This window comes from Homo sapiens, chromosome 1, assembly GCF_000001405.40.
Source record: "Homo sapiens chromosome 1, GRCh38.p14 Primary Assembly".
In the NCBI taxonomy this organism is placed as follows: Eukaryota; Metazoa; Chordata; class Mammalia; order Primates; family Hominidae; genus Homo; species Homo sapiens.
In genome coordinates, this window is record NC_000001.11 from 244339963 (window position 1) to 244367470 (window position 27508).

Sequence of the window (27508 nt, forward strand, 5' to 3'; positions counted from 1 at the left end):
GTTGGAGCCCACCCAGCCTCACAACTCAGCCACTTAGACTCCTGCACAGGTCCTAGGATTCATTCTGATCCGAAGCAGGAGGATGTGACAGCCTTGACCCCAACTCTCTGGGACTCAACATGCAGCCCGTGGTATTTGCTGTCCAGCATTGGTCTGGTCCCTGATGTTGATAACCAAGCATCCAGCTTATCCCTAAGACTGAGCCTCCCTCCCTCAGTGTATGCTCTGGTTCTTACTGTCAGTCAGGCCCTGGATTTGTCCTTTTTCTGGTAACTGCTCAGCACCCCCCGTGCCTCCTAGATTGGAGGCCCTGCCCAGCCTCCTTTGAGGAAGAAGAAGCATGTACAAACATTTACCAGGTGACTTCAGCATCCCAGCCACAATTCCAGACCCTGGGCCACATCTTCTCCTTTTATATCCTCATGGCAGTTGTGCAAGGCTGAACTGGTCCCCAGCATACATGAAGAACATTGACGCTATTGAAGCTCAGAGATGATAAGGACATTTCCCAAGGTCATCTGGCTGGGGAGTGGAGGAGCAGGCATTGGAGGCCTGGTCAGTGTCACCTGAGAGCGTCACGTTACTACCGCTCCACTCGGGGCCTCCCCGGGACTGAAGCGCAGCTCCAAACTGCAGCCGAGTCTGGGCTCTCTCTCACCTGCCAGCCGCCTCACTAACGGCTGCTCCTCCTGGATTTGCCACGGCTCTGTCTTCTCCCCTGTGTGGGGTCCCTCACTGTGGTCAACCTTGCATCCCACGTGGCCAACCGGCCTTGAGGAAGAAAGCAAACTCTGGGCCTGAAACCAACTTAGCCACTTAATAGCTTGCTCCGTGAGCCTGAACAAGTTTCTTAGTTTCTCTGCAAGTCGGTTTCCTCATTCGTGTAAAACCCACCCCGTAGAGTGGTTGTACAGATGTAAATCTGAATACCCTTTAAAATCCTGAATTTAAAAGCTTTTTTTCCAGCAACATAGTGAGACATCATCTCAAAATAAATAAATAAATAAAAAAGTAAAACCTTCTTTCTCTGACCATGAGTCTGGACTTAATGTTTAAAACTCTTTGTTTTAGGGCCATGCGTGGTGGCTCACGTCTATAATCCCAGCACTTTGGGAGGCCCAGGCAGGTGGATCACCTAAGGTCAAGGGTTTGAGACCAGCCTGGCCAACATGGCGAAACCCCCGTCTCTAAGAAAAATAAAAAAATTAGCCAGGCGTGGTGGCACATGCCTGTAATCCCAGCTACTTGGGAGGCTGAGGCAGGAGAATCACTTGAACCCAGGAGGTGGAGGTTGCGGTGAACCGAGATCGCACCACTGCACTCCAGCCTGGGCAACAGAGTGAGACTCTGTCTCAAAAAACAAAAGCAAACAAACAAAAAACTCTTTGTTTTAAAACTGAGCTTGTATGTGTTTTTTTTTAAACCAAGACTGAGAGGACACTCGCAGAGGTTTTCACAGATGATGTTGCTATTGGAATCAGTAAATTGTATTGTGTATAATACAGGATGTAACAATGTCATTCTGGCATTTGTTATGAATGCAGCCCATGCGCGAGGGAAAATCACGGGTCCCGCAAGCACACTCTGTAACAATGCCTCTTCCCAGGAGGGGCCCCCCACCAGGCTGACGATTGTCTTCAGGCTCCATCGATGTTTTCCGTTGTTTAAAGACACACATTAACGTAAAGTCTCCTCCCATTCTCTCTGTAAATTACAGCATTCAGAAGAAGTGGCAGCTGCTGTAATTAAGACACAGTTAATTGCCTATCTCCTTAATTGCAGTGATAGGATTTTGACAGTTTGGTAAATAAGAATTGTTTGGTTTCCTCTGGCAACTTCAGCCTCAGTCAGTTCTCTCCTGCAAGTGCTGAGTCACCCAGTCTGGGGACAAAGGGCTGTGGTCCAACGGAGACAGGATGGGGCAGGAACTGCAGGTGAGAGGGGGGCAGTGTTTATGATTCACCTTAAGTCTCCTCTCTCTCTCTGCAAGAGCCTCCCCACCATTGCCCATTCTGTCGCCCAGTAAGATCCTCCCAGAGTTTTCTCCCAGTTGAATCAGTCATCACATGAGCCTATGAGACAGGAAGAAACAGAAGCAGAATGCCCGTATTGTGGGGCAATGATCTCCTGCTGCTGACGGGCACAGGAGGATGGGACGCTGTCAACTGAGGATACAGAAGCCCAGAGAGACTAAACGTACCCAAAGTCAGGGAGCTACGCTGTGCAAAGCCAGGATCCCAATTCAGGTCTTCTGACCCACAGCCTCAAGCACACTCCACAGAGGCAGGGATTTGGGGTCACCCAGACCTGGGTTCAGAGCCTAACTTTGCCTTTACTGCCTGTGTAACTATGGGTCAGACACTCAGTGTTTCCAGGCCTCAGTTGCTTCCTTCGCAAGTTGGATTTTGTAGTACCCACCTCATAACACTGTGAGAACTTAAAAAAATAATCTGTTGGGCATGGAGGCTCACACCTGTAATCCCAGCACTTTGGGAGGCCCAGGTGAAAGGACTGCTTGAGCCCAGGAGTTCAAGACCAGCCTCGGCAACATAGGGAGACCTTGTCTCTACAAAAAAACCCAAAAATTAGCTAGTCATGGTGGCATGCATCTGCAATCCCAGCCAATTGGGAAGCTGAGGTGGGAGGTTTGCTTGAGCCCGGGAGGTCGAGGCTGTAGTGAGTTATGATTGCACCACTGCACTCCAGCCTGAGGGACAAAGTGAGAACCTGTCTCAAAAAAAAAAAAAAAGACAGAAAAAGAAAAAGAACCTCATGAGGAGGAGACTTCAGCAACATGTCAGGCTTGCAATAAGGGCTCCACAAATGGAAGTTACGTAGCAAGTATCAATCTTGTTCCAAAACTTACATAAATAACTTTTTTTTACATTTCTTTATTTTCCATAAACTTAATTTTGACTGTGGTCTACGTTCCGGCTTCCATTTCAGGTGTTTCTCTCCAGGATCTTGCTACTTATTGATGACACCGTATCAAGGCGCCAGAGTCCAAATGGTCATCATAAGAAAAACTGCACCTAACTTCCACAGCCTCCTAGGAGGCCCAGAGACATCACTGTACTTGCCTGCCATCCTATGTGGTGCTGGAAAAAAAAAAAAAAAAAAAAAAAGAGGGGGCAAGAGAAATAAAACAAGTTTCCATAGTAAAACAGCACATAGCTCATCTTCTGCCGTGGTTACGATTAGCACTGAAACGTGACTGTGAGCTCTGACTGTGTTGTGACAACCATGTTATCATCAATCTTTCTTCCCTGTGGCCACACAAGGCTCAGGAACTAGGATTTTAGTGACAGTGGCATCTGGCTCTTTCTCAGTACCCCTGTTTTCTGTTGTTGTTGTTTTTGTTTGTTTGTTTTTTACTATAACTCCTGCCTTTCCTAAGTATAAAGGGAAAGGAAATATTGGTATACAATATCTAACATTTTTTCAACAAGTGAATGAATGAAGGGAGGTGACTGGGTAGAAAATTCCTATTTAAAAACAAAATTCCTTTACAGACAGGTAGATCTTGTCCTGCTCAACACATATGAGGGTCTGGCTCTGCAGAGATGGGCTTCAAGGCCGGGTGCGGTGGCTCACGCCTGTAATCCTAGTACTTTGGGAGGCCAAGGCAGGCGGATCACCTGAGGTCAGGAATTCCAGACCAGCCTGGCTCACATGGCGAAACCCCATCTCTACTAAAAATACAAAAACTAGCTGGGAGTGGTGGCGCGTGCCTGTAGTCCCAGCTACTCAGGAGGCTGAGGCAAGAGAATCTCTTGAACATGGGAGGTGGAGGTGCTGAGATCCTGCCACTGCACTCCGGCCTGGGCCACACAGCAAGACTTGGTCAAAAAAAAAAAAAAAAAAAGGGATGGGCTTCAACAGGATAGAAGCTCACTGCTCTTTCATCTAAACCCAGTCCCGAGGAAAGGAGTCAGGAGCTGGTTTGGTGGCTCCACAAGCATCAGGGAACCAGCCTTCTTCAAATGTATTATTCCACCATCCTACATTCCCGGCTTCCATCACAGGGACCCAGGACTGCTTGTACCCCCGCATCCCGTCTGCATCTCCACCAAACAGGAAGGAGAAGACCATGCCTTTTAAAAATAGCACAGAGCACTCTCACCATTGCATTTCCTTGGCCAAAATTAGACACATAGCCACACTTAAATGTGACATACAAGGACCTGGCCACCCAGCCTGCTGCCATTAATGCATGTTTCACTGAACACTATAATCCTCACTCAAGCAGAGGCTGCTGGATGCCACCGTCCCAAAGTAGGTACCCCACATATGCTGCACGGTTCCAGTCAACCCAGTGCTTACCTAACCAGCAAATCTAGATGTTGCCAGCCAACACAACATTGAGACACTGCGATTTTCTGACATGAGACCTACACAGTTCTCAGTCTTGGCTTTAAAAACCGACTGCATTTGGCCTCCCTTGAACCAAATCCCCCAGAACCTAGAATCTGTGCTAGATTGAGTTTCTTGCTCAAGGATATAACTTTCCCACTCATTGCACCATCTGTACTCTCTTAGTCTTTCTATATTTTTTTCTTAAACAAATGAAAGGGAGGCTGAGGAATATAGTCTTTAGGTGAGTCACCCCTGAGTACAGCTAAAAAGTGAGGGCTCTATAAGGACGGAATAGATATGAGGGACAAATAGCAGTCTCTATCACACCCATAAATTGGTTGAAAAAAAAACATGGTGGCTCACTCCTGTAATCACATCACTTTGGGAGGATCACTAGAGGCCAGCAGTTCAAGATCTGTCTGGGCAATGTGGCGAAATCTCATCTCTACAAAAAATTTTTACAAATTAGCCAGTCACAGTGGTGCGCACCTGTTGTCCTAGCTACTCGGAAGGCTGACGTGGGAGGATTGCTTGAGCCCAGGAGTTCAAGGTTGCAGTGAGCCCTGATCACACCACTGCCCTCCAGCCTGGGTGACAGAGCGAGACCCTGCCTCTACCAAAAAAAAAAAAAAAAGTAGAGTTTAAAGTCAAAATAACCATAGCCCTGCTCCCTCCCCAGCAGGCTTCAGATGGATTCATGCAGTGATACTGTGGATTTGAAACACTCTTACCTAGATCCTAAGCAGTCAGATGACCAAGTGACATCTGGGTATAAATGAATAGTGCCATGGACCTGTGCACTTGTCACCACACATTCAACACCAGCAGCCCACTTGGGCCTGAGCTAGCAAGTAGGACTGTGTCTCTTTAACCCCACAAACTTCAGGTCAGTAAAAAGAGCACTCGACTTGGAGTCAAGATCTCCAAGGTGAATCAGAGCTCAGCTGTCTAGTAAGTGACTGATTTTGTGTAGGTGCCAGAAACGGAAATAATAATAAGGCCAATGAACGCACGATGAGAAGTTATCATGGACCAGGCACTGTGCTAAGCTAATGTGCATTGATTCTTTATTCCCCATAACAATCCTACAATCTAGATCATAATGATCTTACTGCCATTCTTCAAATGAGAAAATTAAGGCTCTGAAAGTAAGGAATGACCAATGGAGCCAATAAAGTAGTAGCATGAGAATTTAAAATCAGAGCTCAGCCTGGGCAACATAATGAGACCCTATCTCTACAAAAAATTTAAAAATTAGTGAGGTATGATGTCTCATGCCTGTAGTCCCAGCCACTCTGGAGGCTGAGGTGTGAGGATTGCTTGAGCCCAGGAGGTTAAGGCTGCAGTGAGCCATGGTTGTGCCACTGCACTCCAGCCTGAGTGACAAGTGAGACCCTGTCTCAAAATAAAATAAAATAAAATAAAATAATGAAACCAGGGCTCTGTGGCCAGACTTCTTGCTCTTAACAAACCTATGCTGCTTCTAATGAAGAAGAGAAGATACGTGCCAACTTTAAGGTGTAACTGGGCTGGCACACAGGTAGACAGTACATAGTGATCAGTGGTGTGGGAGAGGGCTTACAAGGTCAGGTGGGTAGGGGACACTCCCTAGATGAAGAATGAATAGAAATCAGCCAGGCAGACATGAGGAGCAATGTGTCTACAGCCAGGAAGCAGCACGCGTGACAGCATGGCTGCATCAACTGCACAGTGGCTGCTGGGCCCCAGACATTGTGTTTGCTATCACGGGGAATGGAAGCGGAAGGTGGAAAAAGATAGTTCATTTTTCAGCGAGGAAAACATTCTGTAGAAAACCCCCAATGGATGTTTCCTTACATCTTGTTGGTTATGTTGGTTAGAACTAAGTCACAAAGGTGCTCTGAGCTGTGAGGAAGGACAGAGCCATGAGCATAGAACTAAGAGGATTGGGAACTGGATGTGGCAGTGTGCACTTGTAGTACTAGCTACTCAGGAGGTTGTACCTGGAGTAATAGCTACAGGAGATTGGAGTGGGAAGATTACTTGAGCACTGGAGTTTGAGACCATCCTGGGCAACATAGAGAGACCTTGTCTCAAAAACAAAACAAAACAAAACAAAACAAAAAACCCCGAGACCAAAAAGTGAACAAACAAAACACACACACACACACACACACACACACACACACACACACACACACAAAAGGGAATGGGATCTCCAAACTTGGCTGAGATCAACCATAATCATTCTCTTGGGCTGGGCCGACTGCAACCTGAACAAAATTGTGGTTGTGTTGGCCAGGAAGAAATGAGGGCTGCTCGGTGGAGAGGGGACCTACAGGCTCAGCTCACAGTCTTTCAAACAGGTCCAAACAAGAAGTGATAAGGAACAGAACTAGCAGATGAGTTGAGAACAGCATGGTGAGACTATCAGGAAGCAGAAGTGAAAGTACTTAGTGAGCTACCAGAAGTGAGGGCTGAGGGAGAAGGATTCTTAGGCGATTCCCAAATGTATGACTTGGGTGACTGAGATGTCGGTGATTTAATTAATTGGGGGCGGAGGGTGAGGACTGGGGAAGGCAGGCTAATGAGATGCACAAAATGATCTTATGACTTAGGAGACAATCTTTTGCTTGGGGGATCCTTCAGAGACTTTCCTGTCTCTTGATCTGTTGGGCAAATCAAATAAAGAAAGCAAGTAAAAGCCTTTTCGTATAAGCCTCATATAATGGTAAATGTCTTCATCTCTTAAATAGAAAGCAGCTGGGGTGGCTGCCTGATCTTATTTCCCCAGTGGCTGTGTCTATGTGACCTGACCCCAACAGACAGGGTGTCATGGAAGCCGCGTCATATCAATGGCAGTGCCCAAGGGACCATGAACCCCTGCTTCTGGGATCCCAAGACCTGACCTGGTACTGCCTCCTTGAGGCATGGTGAGTCCCGTCCTTCCTTCAATTCTATAGTCCACTCCAATAAACTGCCTTCCAAGAAGTTAATTTTTTTATCAAGTTAATAGTGATTATTTTTGTAACTTAAAACCAAAAGAACTCTATTTAAGTCCTTGATAAGGTCTTTAAAGGTATACAGTATGCCACAAATTCCCACATGGGGTACTCATGCCAACAGTGTTTCCTTAGAATCTTATCATGAGCAAATGAGAAAAAAATTGACTGTGAGACATTCTACAACTGGCACACACTCTTTAAACCAAGTTATTATCATGAAAAGTAAACAAAAGAATGAGGGGAAATAGATTAGAAGAGGCCAGAGACATAATAACCGAATAGAATGTGATTCGATCATGGGTCACTGAAAATAAGAGAGGAAGAAAAGATACATTTCGAAAAACATTTGTGGGTCATTTACAAAAATTCAAATTTGGACTGTATATGTGATGGTATTATAAAATTAGTGTTACTTTTCTTAGATGAGACAGCCCACTGGGGTTAACAGAAAATGTTCCTATTCTTAGGAAATGCATGCTGAAATATTTAGAATTAACTGTCATGATGTCTACTTTCAAATGGTTCGGAAAAAAATTATATAATGTGAAAATATTAAAAATTGGTGAAACTAGGTTGAAGGTACATGAACGCTTGTTGTATTCTTTCAACTTTTCTGTAAGTTTGAAATTTTCTCAATAAAATATTTGATTATACAATTATAAATGGTCAATTTACAATAAAAAAATCCAGGGGAAAGTGAAAAAAGGTCTGAGGAGAATATCCAATATGCAATTGTCCCAAAGGACAGTTTATGTCAATGAGTCAGAGTGTGACCTCCCAGTCTACATAGCTTTTTGAGGTTTATGGCTGTACTATATAATTATAACTAACATTTGCAAACAACAAAGTGCTGTCACAGACATTCTGCTTGTAATCCCGTTGGGAATGAGCCTCATGTGGTAGGTTTTATTGCCCTGTTTTATAGCCAAGGTGCAGAGCTGCACTTTTGGCCTATGATCGTCTCCACGTCTCCTAGAATTTCCTCACTCCCAGCTGGCCAGTACAGGAATGAGTACCTGGCAGGTTCTCCTTAAACACTATGTATTGTGTGTCTGATAAAGAGACATTTTTAAATTGTCATTGAGAATATTATGTCAGATAGTTCTGCAAAATGTGGCTTTTGTAAATAAAAAAAATGTTTTTTGTTTTGTTTTTTTTTGAGACGGAGTCTCTCTCTGTCGCCCAGGCTGGAGTGCAGTGGCATGATGTTGGCTCACTGCAAGCTCCGCCTTCCGGGTTCACGCCATTCTCCTGCCTCAGCCTCTGGAGTAGCTGGGATTACAGGTGCCCACCACCAAGCCCGGCTAATTTTTTGTATTTTTAGCAGAGACGGGGTTTCACCGTGTTAGCCAGGATGGTCTCGATCTCCTGACCTCATGATCCACCCGCCTTGGCCTCTCAAAGTGCTGGGATTACAGGTGTGAGCCACCATGTCCAGCCAAAAAATTGTTTTTGAGACAGGGTCTCACTATGTTGCCTAGTCTGGTCTCGAACTCCTGGCCTCAATCGATCCTCCTGCCACTTGGCCTCCTGAGTAGCTGGGACTACAGGTGCACGTGACCATGGGTCTAATGGAATAATGGGATGGAATGGCTGACGGAATGCTCTTTAGCCACCATCTTCTTCATTCCCTCCCCTACCCCCAAAGCACATGGTGTACCTGCTCCAGTGTAAACATCGCAACATTTGACCGGAGACAGATGGAAAACGGCAGGGTTGCAGTTCTTTTGAAGGGGGAGGTCCTTTGGCCTTGAGTTGGTCTCTTAGACAGGGTTTCCTGGGCTCCACACTCTGAGATGGAAATTTTCATGAAGCAGTCTGTTGGGAAGTGGTCTATCGGGGCGTGCTTGTGTAGCAACACGTGGAAGGGAGTGAAGAAAACAGGATTTGGCAAAGGGAGAAGCTGAACTATGAGTCACTTACTTCAGATGCGTCAGCCAATGCCACGGAAAGCTCTGAAACTAGAATGGAACTCCAGAGATGTCCCAAATTCAAGCAAGAAGGCTGGACTTTTGTATCCCCGTGTTAATCAATCTTTGGACATGGGCTACCCCAGGAAGGGTGTGTAATCTTGGGTAATGCCAATTCTTGGCACATAAGTGAACTATGATCTAGGAGCAGGCAAAGCTTTCAGCTGGGGAATAGGACCTTGGTCCTCAAGAGGGCCTCCAGAAAGTGCATCGGGCTCTGCGGCAGGGGACTTCCCAGTCTGGGCCAGGACCCAGCCCAAGAGGACGGATTGCTTTTCTTTGTCATATCTCTTGTTCTCTTTTAATCTAGAAGAGTTTCTCAGCCTTCTGGTATCTTTTTTGACTTTATCATTTTTAAAGAGTCCAGGCCAGTTATGCTGTAGAATGTTTGAATTTGTCTAATCTTTCCTTCTGACTGAAATTCAGATTATTTTTCTTTGACTCATCATTTCTTTCCTCTCTTAGTGGGTCAGGCACTTCCCCTGCGGGTCATGTTGCTGCTCCATCTAATTATCGTCTGGCGGCCAGCAGAGGAAATGGTAAATCCTGAAGCGGTGGTGAGACGACCCCTGCATTATCTTCAAGCCGTCAAGCCAGGGAGGAATAATAACCCCGGACAGAGAGGAATCTGAGTTTGCAAGCCGTCAAGTGCATTGACCTCTTTGTCCTCAACCAAATCTGAGGTCACCAATCCTTTCCAAACTCAGCCATGATGTTGGCAGAGCAGATTTGCCAGGTTCTTCTCGGGGGCCCCACTACCCTTATATTTAAATCCTTAGTCTAATTCTCATCTTTTCCTGCCCCCCTGCTGCAGGAAATGAGAGCCCCTCTGTATGCTGCAAAGGGGGAGCCCTGCTTTCACACTTTGCCTAAATTAATGATGATGTTTACCGTCTTACTGCAAAGCATAGATTGTACTCATCAGGAACCAGCCAGTTTCATTACTCTCATAATGACTTCTCCAACCTCTCAAATGCCTGAGAAACTGCACCTGCCAGTTGCTTCCTCCTCCTCCTACTCTGTCCTTTTGTGCTGTAAGTGAAACTTTTTTTTTTTTTTTTTTGAAACGGAGTTTTGCTCTTGTTGCCCAGGCTGGAGTGCAATGGCTCGATCTCGGCTCACTGCAAGCTCTGCCTCCCGGATTCAAGCGATTCTCCTGCCTCAGCCTTCCGAGTAGCTGGGATTACAGGCATGCGCCACCACGCCCGGCTAATTCTGTATTTTTAGTAGAGACGGGGGTTTCACCATGTTGGCCGGGCTGGTCTCGAACTCCCGACCTCAGGTGATCCGCCCGCCTTGACCTCCCAAAGTGCTGGGATTACAGGCGTGAGCCACCACGCCCGGCTTAAGTGAAAGTTTTAACACTTGCTTCCCTACAGAATGCCAGGGGCTAGCCCTACTCCACCTCCCACCGGTAAGGAGGACTTTACTGATAGCCTGCTGGTGTGACCTGCACGTATATATCCAGATGGCCTGAAGTAACTGAAGAATCACAGAGGAAGTGAAATTTAAATGGCCTGTTCCTGCCTTAACTGATGACATTCCACTACAAAAGAAGTGAAAATGGCCGGTCCTTGCCTTAACCGATGACATTACCTTGTGAAATTCCTCCTCCTGGCTCATCCTGGCTCAAAAAGCTCCCCCACGGAGCACCTTGTCACCCCCACTCCTGCCCGCCAGAGAACAACCCCCCTTTGACTGTAATTTTCCTTTACCTACCCAAATCTTATAAAACGGCCTCACCCCTATCTCCCCTTTGCTGACTCTCTTTTCGGACTCAGACGGCCTGCACCCAGCTGATTAAAAAGCTTTATCGCTCACACAAAGCCTGTTTGGTTGTCTCTTCACACGAACGCGAGTGAAACTTTCTTCTTTGTACTTTCTGTTATATTGCCAGGTATGTCTTACGTAAAGAACATGGGGATTTTTTGTTCATTTTTTTTCCTCAGTGAAGAATACTGGTTATTACTCTTAAAACGCCTTTGACGTCAAATAGCTGGATTCAAATCATAGATTCATTACGGCCTCGTTGTGTGACTGTTAGGCAAGTTCCGTAGCTTCTTCTCTTAGCCTTCATTTCAAATAGAAATACTTCATTTTCAAAAGAGAATCTCCTTCCATGGTGGTGGTGGAGATTCTAGATGGTGTGTGTCTAATAGCTAAAAAAACGTGTGGTGCTCACTCAACAAATCAAACCAATTTATCCTTTCTCTTAGTGTGGTTCCAGTTTGTTGCTTCTGTCCTCATATATTTATTTAAGTTTTCCCTAGCTTATCTGCTTTCAACAAAATGCTGTCACCAAGACTCTGTCATTACATTATTTTATGCCTGTTCCATGTAGGTTAAGCTCCCAGCAGGAACCCAGCCTGGCCCCTGGTCTCTCCTGAGTGCCTTCTGGAATCTTATGGAAATATTTTACATTCTAACCTGCAAACTGTATATAAGTGAGAAGTGTCCCTGTTTCCAGGACAACCTACTGTAGATAATGCCAGTGTTGGCTGGGTGTGGTGGCTCACGCCTGTAATCCCAGCACTTTGGGAGGCCGAGGCGGGAGGATCATGAGGTCAGGAGATCGAGACCATCCTGGCCGTGGTGAAACCCCGTCTCTACTAATATACAGAAACTTAGCCGGGCGTGGTGGCACGCGCCTGTAGTCCCAGCTACTCAGGAGGCTGAGGCAGGGGAATCGCTTGAATCCGGGAGGCAGAGCTTGCAGTGAGCCGAGATTGTGGCACTGTACTCCAGCCTGGGCAACAGAGACTCCATCACAAAAAAAAAAAAAGAAAAAAAAATGCCAGTGTTTCGTTTTGGTTTGGTTTGGTTTTGACAGAGGTTGGTCAGAATAAATATTTTTGCCACTCTCTTCTTCTCAGGTTATGGCTTGCTTCTATATAGTGGTGCTGTTGTGATACTCCATGGATTGGTTTGCAGCATATTTTTAAATAATTAAAATTATCCTTTGATACCTGCAAAGGAGCAGGTTGGAGCCTGACCTAACCTTGGACAAGGCGGGGCTGGCCTCATCTGCCCCTCGTGCCAAACCATCCTTCCTCAATTCCAGCTTGCAAAGGGCAGGACTCCTCAGTGTGGCACCACCCAGATTTTCACCTTACGTTGTCCTTGGGACAATCTTTACAGGAAAGCAAGCTCTAGTGATTAGATAGCCTGGTTATTTGCCTACATGATTTTCCTTTTCACAGTAATTTTTGCCCCTTCTTTCATGTGCAGCTGGTCTCTCCCTAGAGACCAAAGGAGCACTCTTTTTCTAAGCCCAGGACCTGAAAGGCATTGCCTGGCAAAACCTTGCAAGCCAGTGTGCGTCACAATACCCTTTGAATGATGTAAAGGAATCAGGCCCTGCCACTCTGCAGTTGATCCAGCAGCAGGAGGCAGCTGTACCCATCACTGTCCTCAGAGTACTTTTAAGAACAAGGAGGTCTCTGCCCACGGCAGCCCAAGCAGGTAATAGCGGTTGGTTGTTACTGCCTGTACCTCTCTCTCGCCTCATTTAGAGGTTGCATTACTAAATGGTTGACTGCATTTCAAATATTTTAGAGACAGGAACTCACAACATAAAGAAACTTCATGGCAAGCCTTTTGGTAAAGCAAAAATGTCTTTTGGAAAGTGAATACTCATCTCTCTCAACTTTGAATTCTTGTCATAGTTTTAACTCAACGTGTCTTTTTTTTCTTAGAAACGGGTACACCTATATTAAATAAGATAATTGGTTCTCTGTGATACAAGAAGACCTAGGTTTTAAAAACTGTGAACTAGATTAACAGGTTACTGAGTTAGCTGATCGATTGATTTATTCACTCATTCTGAAGTATGCATCAAGCACTCCTTGGACAGCGAACACTTTGCAAGAGAATGAGTTAGGAGAAGGACAAAGAGAGTGAAGATCGTGGCCACCAAACGAAGTGGTCCCCAACATCTAGGAGCTCACATTTTACCTGAAGAGACAAAGTGCTGTATAAAACAGATGTCTTGGCCAAGCGTGGCGGCTCACACCTATAATCCCAACACTCTGGGAGGCCGAGGTGGGAGAATCACTTGAGCCCAGGAGTTTGAGACCAGCCCGGGCAACGTAGCAAGGTCCTGTCTCTGTTTAAGAAAACAAACAACAACAACAACAACAAAAAACCCAGATGTCTCGTTGTTTGAAGAATTTCTAGAACCTTATCCAAAGCCTGGTGGAGAGTTGTCACTAATTTTTCTTAAATAATAAAATGAATAAATCAATTCAGAAACCAATAAACCAAAAAGGAAAGGACTCAGAACCAAAATGCGTAGGAGAATCTCCCAGGGGCTCTGGGAATTCACAGGAGGGAAATGGGCCATTTGAAACTCAGAAGAGAGGCCTCCTAGGGAACGTATGTAGGACCTGAACAAAGCCCTGAAGAATGGGCTTAATTTAGGCTAGAGAAGGAAAAAAGAAAGAGTATTCAGGCAGCAGAATTCATTACAGAACTGGTGAGAGTCAGGGGAGAAGGGAACCAACCTTCCTGAACTGGGAAAACTGCCTGCCTGAGAAAACAGAAGCAACAGGGGACTATCAAAGTAACTCATTGCTGCGAGCCCTCTTCTAAACAGCCTCTCATCGCACAGGCTCAGAGGCAGCTAGTACAGTCACCATGCTCCTAGCCAGGGTGAGTCATGTCAATCCCAAAGCACTTCCCCACCCACGCCTTCTCTGCATCCTCAGATCACTAGGGCACGACTTTCCCCAGAGGTTGAATTTCCTCTAATTTCATGAGCACAGATGCAACACTTACAAGGAAATGGGGCATTATAAAATGCATCCAGAAAGTCAACGGATGCAACTTACTCACCAGCTCACATGCCATTTTCTGACTATTCTACAAGGTTCCATTGACTCACTGAATTTTCCAAATCTTACCAGATACATAACATCAAGTCTTGGGACCCTGACTCTAATATCCTTCCTCTGCCCCTTCTCTGGACAGATTAATTAATAACTTGCTAGTTTTCATTTAATTGGGGCCCATAAGTTGATTAAATTTGCTAAGTAACTGTTACTGGTTTCACTTGGCATTGTACTGGGAGTACCCAAACTTTGATTTTTTTTTTTTTTTTTTTTGAGTTGGAGTCTCGCTCTGTCACCCAGGCTGGAGTGCAATGGCATAATCTTGGCTCACTGAAGCTTCCACCTCCTGGTTCAAACGATTCTCCTGCCTCAGCCTCCAGAGTAGCTGAGACTACAGGTGTGCACCACCACACCCGGATAATTTGTGTGTGTGTATTTTTAGTAGAAACAGGTTTCAACATGTTGTCCAGGCTGGTCTCGAACTCCTGACCTCAAGTGATCCGCCTGCCTTGGCCTTCCAAAGTGCTGGGATTACAGGCATAAGCCACCATGGCTGGCCTGATTTAACAACACTTTTAAAAATTCTTTCCTATCATAAAAAGAGATGCCAATTTTTTAAATGTTTTTCAACCAAGTCTTTAGAAAGTCCTTCACCTTGAGGAAAGCTTTTCAGATGCTTCATATCAGGGAAAATGTCCAGGTTTTCTGAAACAAATGTGACTTAGACCTCTGAAAGAGGAGAGGGAGGTGCAGCCACCTCAGCTGCCTGGAAGGTAATCTGGTATGAAAGGATTGTGTTTTAGCAGTGACTGTGCTTTAATTTTATATGCACTTGTGTGGCTCTATGATTAATCTCTGACATTATCTCCTCTACCAGACTGTAAGCAACATGGCGGCGAAATCACGTGTCTTTTGCTGAACGCATTTCCTGTAGCTGCCTGGCAGGGTCAGGCAAAGGCAGTTGGTTAATAAATCTTTGCTGAATGGATCAGTCAATCAGTGATGCTACAGTGGAAGGGGCTTGAGCCTTGGGGTCAGACAGACCTGGCTGTGTGAACTTAAACTTGTGGTTTAACACTTTCTATAAACTAACAGTAATCATGAACAACTTGCAGGATTATTTCAAGGACTGGACGAAATAGCCCATGTGAAAGGTCAGGTGGATGGTGGGTGTTAGCTGAGGTTCTTCCCCACCCCTTTCTACCAGAGGGTAGTTGCTCTTTTTCAAAATCGCTTCAGCTATTTTAGTTCTCTTGCATTTCCAAATAAATTTTATTCTTTTTATTGATTGATTGATTGATTGATTGAGACGGAGTGTCATCTGTCTCCAGGCTGGAGTGTAGTGGTGTGATCTCGGCTCACTGCAACCTCTGCCTCCCGGGTTCAAGCGATTCTCCTGCCTCAGCCTCCCGAGTAGCTGAGATGACAGGCAAGCGCCACCACGCCTGGCTAATTTTTGTGTTTTTAGTAGAGACAGAGTTTCACCATGTTGGCCAGGATGGTCTCGATCTCTTGACCTCGTGATTTGCCAGCCTCGGCCTCCCAAAGTGCTGGGATTACAGGCATGAGCCACCGCGCCCAGCCCCAAATAAATTTTAGAATAAGTTTGTCTATATCTACAAAAAGTCCTGCTGGGATTTTGTTAAGATAAAGCAGATCAATGTGCAGTGAATTGTGATCTTTATTATATTCTTTTCCAATCCATGAATGTAGTCTACCTCTCAGGTCTTCTCTGGTTTCTTTCGTCAACATTTTATAGTTTTCAGCATACAAATCCTGTATATGTGTTGTTCGATTTTCACATATTTCATTTTTAAGCAATTGTAAATAGTTGTGTTTTAAATGTTTGTTCTTTTTTTTATTTATCTAGAAATATGATTTTTTACATATTAATCTTGTATCCTATGATCTCACTAAGCATAGCTGTTGGTTTTAGGAATTTATTTGTAGATTTCTTGAGATTTTCTACGTGGACAATTATGTCATTTGCAGCTAAGGACATCTGTACACCTTTTATTTCCTTTTCTTGTCTTATTGTACTGGCTAGGACTTGCAGCACTATGTTTAATATGAGTAGTGAGAGTAAACATTCTTGCTTTGCCACCAATTTTAGGAAGAGAGCACTCAGTCTTTAACCATTATGTACGATGCTAGCTGTAGGTTTCTGTAAATGTTCGCTATCAGATTGAGAAGGTTCCCCATAGTTTGCTGAGAAATTTTACCACGAATGGGTCAATTTTATTAAGTTCTTTACTATTATTGTATATTATAGAAATTTGATTTAACCCGTATTATATAATGCCAAAAATCTACTGAGAAAGTTGACAAAATAAATCTTACAGATTTGTTCCTGAAGTCAGCATGTTGAAAATTAACTTTGAGGAAGTTTGCTGCAACATACATTTTTAATTCATTTATCTTGGCTCACCTTCTGAACACCAATGTGATAAAAACTTGTATTGTTAAATTTTAATTTCTGTGCACTGAAAGTCTAACCTCAGTGGTCTGGGGGCCAACATTAGTTAATGGAGGTGGCTGAATCCTCCTAGGAGCCATGAACCTGCACAAGCCTTGACTCATTCTTAGGAATGTACCTTAAGAAATAAATTCAATAGAATGAAATATATTCATAGAGATATTTAGCATGACCAAAATGTCCAAAATTGGGGTATTGGGTTTCATAAATTATAACTCACTCAGTTATTCAGTAAATATTTGTCAAATGTTTACCATGTGCTAATTATTATCTTTGACCTGACAGCTGTAGCAGTAGACAAAATAGACAACCCTTCCCTTTCTTCTTTTCTTTTCTTTTCCTTTTTTTTTTTTTTTTTTTTTTGAGACAGGGTCTCATTCTGTAACCCAGGCTGGATTGCAGTGGCATCATTTCAGCTCACTGCAACCTCCACCTCCCAGGCTCAAGTGATCCTTCCATCTCAGCCTCCCAAGTAACTGGGACTACAGACACATGCCACCTGCCCAGATAATTATTGTATTTTTTGTAAAGATGGGGTTTTGCCATGTTGCCCAGGCTGATCTCAAACTCCTGATCTCAAGTGATCCACCCACTTTGGCCTCCCAAAGTGCTGAGATGACAGGCACGAGCCACTGCACCCACCATGGAGATTGAAACAAATATAAACAAGATACATAAGTAAACGTACAGTATGGCAAATGGGGATAAGTGTTTTGGAGAAAAACAAAGCAAAGGCAGGGAAAAGGAGTTCAGAAGTGGGGTGGAGTGGAGTCTTATTTTAAATAGAGTGGTGGATGGCCCTTACTAAACAACACAAAGGAATGTTAAATATTAAAATTAAGAATACTGGGCTGGGCGCAGGGGGCTCACGGCTGTAATCCCAGCACTTTGGGGGGGCCAAGGTGGGTGGATCACGAGGTCAGGAGTTGGGGACCAGCCTGACAAACATGGTGAAACCTTGTCTCTACTAAAAATACAAAAATTAGGCGAGCGTGGTAGAGCACGCCTGTAATCCCAGTTACTCAGGAGGCTGAGGCAGAAAAATCGCTTGAACCCAGGAGGTGGAGGTTGCAGTGAGCCAAGATGTGCCACTGCACTCCAGCCTGGGTGACAGAGCGAGACTCCATCTCAAAAAAAAAAAAAAAAAAAGAATACTCTAGCAATGTGGAAAAAGTTTCATGATATATTGTTCAATGAGAAACAACGAATATAAAATAGGGCCAGGCACAGAGGCTCAGGCCTGTAATCCCGGCACTTTGGGAAGCCGAGGTGGGAGGATTGCTTGGGCCTAGGAGTTCAAGACCAGCCTAGATAACATAGTGAGACCCATCTCTACAAAAAAAGAAAAAAGAAGTATTTAATTAGCTGAGTGTGGTGGCATGCACCTGCAGTCCAAGCTACTCAGAAGGCTGAAGGGGGAGGATCACTTGAGCCCAGGAGGTTGAGACCAGCCTAGCCAACATGGTGAAACCCCATCTCTACTAAAAACGAAAATAAAAAAAATTAGTCAGGCATGGTGGTACACGCCTGTAATCCCAGCTGCTCGGGAGGCTAAGGCAGGAGAATCACTTGAACCCAGGAGGTGGAGGTTGCAGTGAGCCAAGATCACGCCATTGCACTCCAGCCTGGGTGACAGAGCCAGACTCTGTCTCAAAAAGAAAAAGAAAAGAAAAGAAAATTAAAAATTACAAAATAGAATATCTGCTGTGGTTTAAATATGTATGGGCCGGGCATAATGGCTCACACCTGTAATCCCAGCACTTAGGGAGGCCGAGGTGGGTGGATTACTTGAGGTCAGAAGTTCGAGACCAGCCTGGCCAACATGGAGAAATCCTGTTCTCTACTAAAAATACAAAAACTAGCTAGGCGTGGTGGCGCATGTCTGTAATACCAGCTAGTCAGGAGGCTGAGGCATCAGAATTGCTTGAACCCAGGAGGTAGAGGTTGCAGTGAGCTGAGATTGCGCCACTGTATTCCAGCCTAAGTGATAGAGTGAGAGTGTCTCAAAAAAAAAAAAAATTAAGTATGTATGTGTATGTGTGTGTGTGTATATATATATATACACACACATATATATGATACAAAAACATGAAAATAGTTGTTTATGTGTAGAATTCATGGATGGTTCTAATATTGTCTTATGGCATTATTTACTCTGGGCATACAATGTTTTCAGTTGTAAATAAAAATCTTCAAAGATTTCCTAGGAATAACTGAAACTGAGTGAATGGTAGGGCAAGGGCACAGACAGCACTTTTGTTTGCTTTGGAAGAATTTTACTTGGGGCATGTCTAAGCGAGAATCTTCTATTAAGGCAACTAAAAAATTAAATGTTTTCAGGGAGATGAAAGTTATGTTGTTCCTGGTGCTGAGAACAACAGTTGTACAGCACTGGCTGTGACCATGAAAGTGATGGTAAGTTTACCATATGTTCATACTTGAGTTACCACGTTCAGATTTGGTATGGGGCTATATTTTTTAAGATTGACTAAAATAAAATGTACTGATATATCTTATTGCAAACTACACTTCCTTATGTGTCCAAGAGATTATGATTAATGGCAAAAAAAAAAAAAAAAAGTGATTTGGTATCCCTCACATAAGGTAGAGGAAATTCTCTAAAGATCGGTAACCACTCCCAGACAAGGTCCTCTGATTATTGTAGGAGCATAGACTTGGACTCAAACACCATTGCTAATGCATTTCTCTAAAAATGCTTGCATCGCGTGGCAACCAGAGGCAACCCACAGAATGGGAGAAAATATTTGCAAACTACCCATCTGACAAGGGATTAATAACCAGAATATATAAAAAGCTTAAACAATCAATAGGGAAAAGAAAATCTGATTTTAAAATAGGCCAAAGGGCCAGGAGCAGTGGCTCATGCTTGTAATCCCACTTTGGGAGGCAGAGGTGGGCAGATCACCTGAGGGCAAAAGTTCGAGACCAGCCTAGCCAACATGATGAAACCCCGCCTCTACTAAAAATACAAAAAATTAGCTGGGTGTGGTGGCGGGCGCCTGTAATCCCAACTACTCGGGAGGCTGAGGCAGGAGAATCACTTAAACACAGGAGGCGGAGGCTACAGTGAGCCGAGATCACGACATTGCACTCCAGCCTGGGCAATGAGAGCAAAACTCCACCTCAAAAAAATTAATTAATTAATTAAAATAAGCAAAAAATCTGAATAGACATTTCTCAAAAGAAGACACATAAATGGCTAACAGGTGTATAAAAAAAAAGTTCAACATGGCCCGGGGCGGTGGCTCACGCCTGTAATCCCAGCACTTTGGGAGGCCGAGGCTGGCGGATCACAAGGTGAAGAGATTGAGACCATCCTGGCCAACATGGCAAAACCTGTCTCTACTAAAAATACAAAAAATTAGCTGGGCGTGGTGGTGCGTGCCTGTAGTCCCAGCTACTCGGGAGGCTGAGGCAGGAGAATCACTGGAACCCGGGAGGCGGAGGTTGCAGTGAGCCAACATCGCACCACTGCACTCCAGCCTGGCAACAGAGCGAGACGCCATCTAAAAAAAAAAAGTTCAACATTACTAATCATCAGAAAAATGCAAATGAATCCTGCAATGGGATATCATCTCACCTCAGTTCAAATGTCTTTTATCCAAAAGCCAGGCAATGATGAATGCTACTGAGGATGTGGAGAAAGGGGAACCTTCATACGCTGTTGGTAGGAATGTAAATTAGTACAGCCACTATGGAGAACAGTATGAAGGTTCCTCAAAAAACTAAAAATAGAACTACCATATGATCCAGCAGTCTCACTGCTGGGTATATATCGAAGAGAAAGGAAATTGTTATATCAAAGAGATATCTGCAGTCCTGTGTTTATTGCAGCACTATTCACAATAGCCAAGCTATGGAATCAACCCAAGTGTCTATCAATGGATGAATGGATAAAGAAAACGTGATATACACACACACACACACACACACACACACACACACACACACACACACACATGCATGCATGGAATATTATTCAGCCATAAAAAAGCATGAAATCGGTCGGGCAGAGTGACTCATGCCAGTAATCCCAGCACTTTGGAAGGCTGAGGCGGGAGGATCACCTGAGGTCAGGAGTTCCAAGACCAGCCTGGTCAACATGGTGAAACCCCATCTCTACAAAAATACAAAAATTAGCTGGGCATGATGGCAGGTGCCTGTAGTCCCAGCTACTCAGGAGGCTAAGGCAGGAGAATTGCTTCACCCTGGGAGGCGGAGATTGCAGTGAGCTGAGATTGCGCCATTGCACTCCAGCCTGGGTGACAGAGTGAGACTCCGTCTCAAAAAAAAAAAAAGCATTAAATCCTGTCATTTACAACAACATGAAGGGAACTGGAGGACATTATATCAAGTAAAATAAGCCAGGCACAGAAAGACAAATATTGCTTGTTCTCACTAATATGTGGGAGCTTGAAAAAAAATTGAACTTGTCGAAGAAAAGGAATTGAACTTGCGGAGACGGAGAGTAGAATGATGGTTAGCAGAGGCTGGGAAGGGGAGTGGGGAAGAGGGAATAAACGGTGGATGGTTAATGGAACAAAAATACAGTTAGAAGAAAAAAGATCAGTGTTTGGTAGCACAATGGGTGACTATTGTCTATAATTTATCGTACATTTCTTTTTTTTCTTTCTTTCTTTTTTTTTTTTGAGATGGAGTCTTCCTCTGTTGCCCAGGCTGGAGTGCTGTGGCTCGATCTCGGCTCACTGCAACCTCTGCCTCCTGGGTTCAAGGATTCTCCTGCCTCAGCCTCCCAAGCAGCTGGGATTACAGGCATGCGCCACCATGCCTAGTTAATTGTTGTATTTTTAGTAAAGACGGGGTTTCATCATGTTGGCCAGGCTGGTCTCAAACTCCAGACCTCAAGTCATCTGCCCACCTCGGCCTCTCAAAGTGCTGGGATTACAGGCGTGAGCCACCGCGCCCGGCCTGTTCTACATTTCAAAATAACTTAAAAAGTGGAATTAGAATGTTCCTAACACAAAGAAATGATAAATTCTTGAGGTGATGGACACCCGCATTACCCTGATTGGATCATTACTCATTGTATGCTTATATAAAAATGGCACATGTACCCCATAAATACATACATCTCTTATATATCTATAATAATTAAAAATAAAAATTTTTGTTAAAAAAGCATGGCAACCCATGACCGATTTATTCCCTTACAAGACTGATTCAGAATTTCTAGGCACTGAGCACTCACTCTGTCTTCAAAGGGATAGTGGGGGCTGTCTTTGTTAGGAGCTCAAAAGCCCTGAATACCTGGCATTCTTCTGTCCAGCCTGTCACTTCCACTGAAGTAAACTCCAGTCACGAAGCTTTCGGAGTTCGGGTTAGCAGATTAACCAAGAGCTCAGCTGTGTTTACTCAGATTTTCTCTCTCATTGTTTCTTCCTTCTTTCTCTTTCTCTCTCTCTCTCTTTTTTAAATAATCACAGCAGTAAAAGTACATTATATAATGATTAGGCTCTGTTGGATAGCCAACTATTCCATTATAGTGTAATGCTGTTTAAAATCTTCAAGTTGCTTTGAAAAACACACTCAGGTGAAATAAAGCAGCTGGCCAGCCGGCAGGCAATGAGTTAACCGTTGTCTATGAAAGGGAAGAGGAGGAGACATCACACACTCTTTTTTTCCAGTCCTTTCTGTCTCCTGGTTACTGAATAGTCCTAGTTTTGTTTTGGCTGATGGTCTGGGTGCCTTGTGATTGTTTTGATAGAGCTAAGAGTTAAAATAAATATTTCTGCAGCCAGAGGGTTCCAGCCCTGGTTCCTTGGTAACCTCATACAAGTTACTTAACTTCTTAGTACCTCAATTTTCTTGGGAGTAAATAGCAGTAAAACTCTGTAGGGTTGCTGGGAGGCTAATAGGAGTTAATACATGTTACCTGGTACATAATCCATGATTGTCAATAGGAACTCACATTTCTCCTTTCTCAAAGATGTTTTCAAGGACACAGAACACTCTCGCACACATCTTTGCCTCATTCAACCCTCCAGAGAGCTATTGTAATCAATGTGGAGAGTGGGAAAATGACCTGCCGCAGGTCACATGGGTCTCAGTCCGATGTTCTCCTGCTACACCACTAGCCATGTTTGTGCAAACCATAGGCCCAGCTGTCTATGCATACATAATAGATATGCAGAGTGCAAAATTCCTAAGGTAAATGGTAAAAAGTATGCCTTTGTCCCCCAGCCACTCAGTTTTCCTTCTCATTGTTTACTCTTTTCCCTGTGAACTTTTTTTTTTTTTTTTTTTTGAGACAGGGTCTCACTGTCACCCAGGCTGGAGTGCAGTGGTGTGATCTTGGCTCACTGCAACCTCCGCTTCCTGGGCTCAAGCGATCCTCCCGCCTCAGCCTCCTGAGTAGCTGGGACCACAGGCATGCACCTCCACACCAGGCTTTTTTTTTTGTTGTTGTATTTTTCATAGAGTTGGGGTCTCACCACTTTATGTGATTATTTAAATGTAGTAGTTTGCTTGTGGCAAGCCATATTCTCCAGTAAATAATCAGATGTGGGCCAGGTACGGTGGCTCATGCCTGTAATCCCAGCACTTTGAGAGGCCGAGGTGGGTGGATCACCTGAGGTCAGGAGTACAAGACCAGCCTGGCCAACATGGTGTGAAACCCCATCTCTACTAAAAACACAAAAATTAGCTGGGCATGGTGGCAGGTGCCTATAATCCCAGCTACTCAGGAGGCTGAGGCAGGAGAACTGTTTGAACCCGGGAGGTGGAGGTGGCAGTGAGCCACGATTGTGCCACTGCACTCCAACCTAGGCGACAGAGTGAGGCCCTGTGAAAAACAAACAAACAATCAGATGTGATATGAAATTTTAGACTAGAAACAACCTATATGTTTAGTCTAGGGTCAGTGGGGAACAGAAAGGGGGCTAACATAGAGAATGAATGGCTTACAAAAAATCCTCAGAAGGGCTGGAAGAACAGGCTCTGGGTGGGGCCCCCAGGAGGCATCTAGAACATCTCCACAAAACTGACCCATCACTGGTAAAGCTATGTCAGTCCAGATCAGGAAGCTGCTTCCAGGAGTATTGAGTTCAAGAACCTACTCCCAACGCCACTGTCTCTGCCACCTAGGAAGCTGGAATTTGAACCCTGGGACACAGACTTCAGCCACTGCCTTCGCAACAATTGCTTCTTGAATGCCCCAAAGCTGGAGATGAGACGCTGGAAAAGTGCCATATGCTCCACAACCTTGCTTGCCAGTAGAGAAGATCAAGGCAGCAGCCTCTGCCTAATGTCCACCTTCCAAATCTCAAGCAAGTACAGCCGATGCAAGGGCGCTCACTCCTAGCCGGGATTCTTGTTGTGAGGCACTCTGGGAAATGTCGTGCTTAGCTTGCAAGCTTGTGAGGTAGGAAGGCCCACTAAGAAATGAGACAGGATCTTGGGTCACAACTGATCAGAACAAAACCAAAAAAACAATGAAGTGAGACAGGAGACTATGCCCAGCTAACATTAGCACAGTACCTTTGCTTTTGCTTTTTCTTTTTTTTTTTGACGGAGTCTCACTCTATGGCCCTGGCTGGAGCGCAGTGGCACGATCCTGGCTCACTGCAAGCTCCGCCTCCCGGGTTCACACCATTCTCCTGGCTCAGCCTCCCAAACAGCTGGTACTACAGGCGCCCGCCACCAGGCCCGGCTACTTTTTTTGTATTTTTAGTAAAGACGGGGTTTCACCGTGTTAGCCAGGATGGTCTCGATCTCCTGACCTCGTGATCCTCCCACCTCAGCCTCCCAAAGTGCTGGGATTACAGGCGTGAGCCACCACACCCGGCCTGCTTTTTATTTTCTTATTGATTTATACTTATTTAATTTTTTTTTACTTTTGGTTTTTAAAGAAAAGCACATCTGTGTGTATTTGCCTTATGCTTGCCATTTCTTTTTGCTCCTTTCTAATCTTGTATTTCCTTCCCTAAATAGCCTATATGCATAGTCCTTCTACCATGTCAAATATTTTTACTGATTTCTTTCAAGATGGACTTTGTGGTACTAGATATCTCACCCATGGAATTATGTATAAACTGGCAATATAATCCTTTATGCCATAATTTTTTTTCAGATTCCCATCCATCATGACTGCCATCCGACTACGAGAATTTATTGAGCGTCGCCCAGTGATCCCGCCAAGGTATAGTTCTTCCAGATGCACAGCCTCCGGGACTGAAGCCAGGCAGCCAGGTGCCTGGGGAGTTAGAATTGCACATCCTGCTGCTCAGTGGTCCAGAGACTACTGCCAGGGAGTTCTAGGGAAGCTCTTTGGATATTTCCTGATGAGCAGGTCTGTGCAAACCTACCGGCAAAAGTCAGAGGAAGCTGAGACGCCGAAGAAAGAGGCTGACAAATCCAGTTTCTTACAAAGAAATATTTAACAGGGACTTACGAACAGAAGCCATATATGTGTCTCGGGTAGCAGTGAGATGAGATGGTGGATGTCTGCGCCATTACCCCTGAGACCCAGGATTTAGATACCATAGGGGAAGAGTGATACAGAAGGGATATATGGGACAATTGAAGTACGATAACACCAATGTTGTTTGGCCGAAGGGCAGAACTTACAGTAAGTACCTGCTCTGACACCAGGAACTATAGAGAAACTGGAAATCTTAGAGGCCTGGGGTGATATGATTTGGTTGTGTCTCCACTCAAATCTCATCTTGAATTGTAGCTCCCATAATTCCTACGTGTCGTGGGAGGGACCTGGTGGGAGGTAACTGAACCATGGGGTGGGGTTTTCCCATGCTGTTCTCCTGACAGTGAATAAGTCTCACGAGATCTGATGGTTTTATAAGTGGGAGTTCCCCTGAACAAACTCTCTTGCCTGCCGCCATGGAAGACATGCCTTTCCTCCTCCTTTGCCTTCTGCCATGATTGTGAGGCCTCCCCAGCCGTGTGGAACTGTGAGTCCATTAAACCTCTTTTTCTTTATAAAATACCCAGTCTCGGGTATTTCTTCATAGCAGTATGAAAATGGGCTAATACAAGGGGTTAATCAGAAGCCAACATGGTGAATTAGCATCCAACATAGAGTTGCTCTAGCCTCCACATTGGGTTTAGGGAAAGTTGTAAGAAAAAGAAGCCTCACACTCACTGCAGAATCCAAGCAAACAGGCAACTCCAAATTCCCAAAAGACCAGAAGGATATTGGTTTTTGCTTGGGAAGAGCTTTAGTGAGAAGTCTGAGCAATCCAAGCCCACATTTTGGATTGGACCATTTTACTCTGCTTGTGGGAAAACAAACTGCTCCTGTGCTTCCTCTGATGAGAGCTGACGGCACAGATGGAAACTAAGGAGCTGTTTCGCTCTTTCTTCAAGGTCCTCTATGGCACAAGAATAACAAGCCCTAGATCTGTCTTGTTGTGCTAAATTTGGTATCAGATGACAGTCCGTAAATCCTAACCCCACTCCCCCTTCACCACCTCGACGGGTCTGCAGCAGTGTAGTAGCTATAAATTTGTGACAGCAACCTCACACCATGACATGGGGGTCAGCCTCCTGTAGCCCCGTTGGCTTTGTGGCTTTGAGCAAGCCTCGTGTTTAGTTTATTTTATTTTTATTTATTTATTAGAGACAAAGTCTGGCTCTGTTGCCCAGGCTGGAGTGAAGTGGCTGGATCATAGCTCAGTCCAACTTCAAACTCCTGGGCTCAACTGATCTTCCTGCTGCCTTAGTCTCCTGAGTAGCTAGGGCTACAAGCTGCCTGGCTAATTTTTAAATTTTTTGTAGAGACCAGGTCTCACTATGTTGCCCAGACTGTCTGGAACTCCTGGCCTCAAGCAGTCCTCCCACTTGGTATCACAAAGTGTGGGATTATGGGTGTGAGCCACAACACCCAGCCTCATGTTTATTTTAATATTGAGTTATTTTAGCCATGTTTGGTCAACAAAAGAGAAGTCCTTCTTCCAGAAACTACAGAAGGAGTGAATGGATGGATGTGTCCTTCCTGGCTACATCTTAAGAATTTTCTTTTAAGACCTGATGCAGTGGCTCGTGCCTGTAATCCCAGCACTTTGGGAGGCCAAGGCGGGTGGATCACTTGAGGTCAGGAGTTCGAGACCAGCCTGGCCAACATGGTGAAACCCTGTCTCTACTAAAAATACAAAAATTAGCCAGGCGTGGTGGCACACACCTGGAATCCCAGCTACTCGGGAAGCTGAGGCAGGAGAATCGCTTGAACCCAGGAGGCAGAGGTTGCGATGAGCCGAGATCGCACTACTGCACTCCAGTGTGGGCAACAGAATGAGACTCTGTCTCAAAAAAAAGAAAGAAAGAAAAACTAAACAGATAGAATAATTGGAAGTTGTGATAAAGGAAATGAAAAAGGGTGTGAGGGAGAATAATCAGGTGGAGAGGTAGGCAGAAGGAGAATACCTTCTCTAGCCAGGGTGTTCAGGGAACAGCTCTCTCAGCAGTTGTCAGCCGAGCATGATGCTGGGTGATAGGGGCAGGGGGTGGGAGAAGGGTGCGGTCTAGGGAGGAGGAAGTGCAGGTCCAAAATCCCTGATTCATGAAAGAAGCCATGACATGATGACACAGGGGCTGGAGCTGGGAGAAGGTTGGGACGGTAGAGGCAGGAGAAGTTCCCGGAGGGCTTTGTGGCCTACAATAGTGAGTCTGGGTTTTATGCTATTATACATGCAATGGGTTGAAGGGTTTTATGCAATGGAGGGCCCTGATCCGATTTACTTTTATGAAGCTCACTCTGAGAACAGATTGTCTGAGGACAAGAGTGGGGGTTATTGCAGAGAGCAGGGGGAGGCAATGGTGAGCTGGACCAAGGGGTGGCCGTGGGCTGGAGAAGCCGTCCCATGGGAGATCCAGCCTGGAGGGGGAATGCACGGACTT

At 44.9% G+C, this 27508-nt stretch overlaps 1 protein-coding gene across 9 annotated transcripts in view, besides 6 other annotated features; it reads left to right on the top strand.

The window, feature by feature from the left end:
• Window positions 1465-1759: a silencer, noted in NCBI's record as "tiled region #872; HepG2 Repressive non-DNase unmatched - State 7:EnhWF, and K562 Repressive non-DNase unmatched - State 5:Enh". NCBI's record gives its function as "represses a minimal TATA promoter and a strong SV40 promoter by Sharpr-MPRA in HepG2 and K562 cells {active_cell/tissue: HepG2 | K562}" and the evidence as "EXISTENCE:reporter gene assay evidence [ECO:0000049][PMID:27701403]".
• Window positions 1465-2019: a biological region, named in NCBI's record as "Sharpr-MPRA regulatory regions 872 and 4511".
• Window positions 1725-2019: an enhancer, noted in NCBI's record as "tiled region #4511; HepG2 Activating DNase unmatched - State 8:EnhW, and K562 Activating DNase matched - State 5:Enh". NCBI's record gives its function as "activates a minimal TATA promoter and a strong SV40 promoter by Sharpr-MPRA in HepG2 cells, with weaker activation in K562 cells {active_cell/tissue: HepG2 | K562}" and the evidence as "EXISTENCE:reporter gene assay evidence [ECO:0000049][PMID:27701403]".
• Window positions 10623-10682: an enhancer, noted in NCBI's record as "active region_2839". NCBI's record gives its function as "activates an Ori minimal core promoter by ATAC-STARR-seq in GM12878 lymphoblastoid cells {active_cell/tissue: GM12878}" and the evidence as "EXISTENCE:reporter gene assay evidence [ECO:0000049][PMID:35858748]".
• SPMIP3 (sperm microtubule inner protein 3) overlaps window positions 12673-27508 on the top strand; it is a 37029-nt gene continuing 22193 nt past the window's right edge. For 4 of the 9 annotated variants that reach the window (XM_017000571.3, XM_011544124.3, XM_011544129.4 and 1 more), the window contains exons 1-3: window positions 12673-12772; window positions 23741-24017; window positions 24726-24794. In XM_017000571.3, coding sequence (XP_016856060.1) covers window positions 23989-24017; window positions 24726-24794 — 98 coding nt within the window. In that variant the 5' untranslated portion in view covers window positions 12673-12772; window positions 23741-23988. Of the gene's footprint in view, window positions 12773-13877; window positions 13961-23740; window positions 24018-24725; window positions 24795-27508 lie in introns of those variants that run through there. The other 5 variants (XM_011544125.3, NM_001012970.3, NM_001276348.2 and 2 more) reach the window with 2 other exon arrangements.
• Window positions 14552-15070: an enhancer, noted in NCBI's record as "H3K27ac hESC enhancer chr1:244517816-244518334 (GRCh37/hg19 assembly coordinates)". NCBI's record gives its function as "activates a minimal SCP1, AML or CMV promoter by ChIP-STARR-seq in primed H9 embryonic stem cells {active_cell/tissue: H9 hESC(primed)}" and the evidence as "EXISTENCE:reporter gene assay evidence [ECO:0000049][PMID:30033119]".
• Window positions 21732-22557: an enhancer, noted in NCBI's record as "OCT4-NANOG-H3K27ac hESC enhancer chr1:244524996-244525821 (GRCh37/hg19 assembly coordinates)". NCBI's record gives its function as "activates a minimal SCP1, AML or CMV promoter by ChIP-STARR-seq in naive H9 embryonic stem cells {active_cell/tissue: H9 hESC(naive)}" and the evidence as "EXISTENCE:reporter gene assay evidence [ECO:0000049][PMID:30033119]".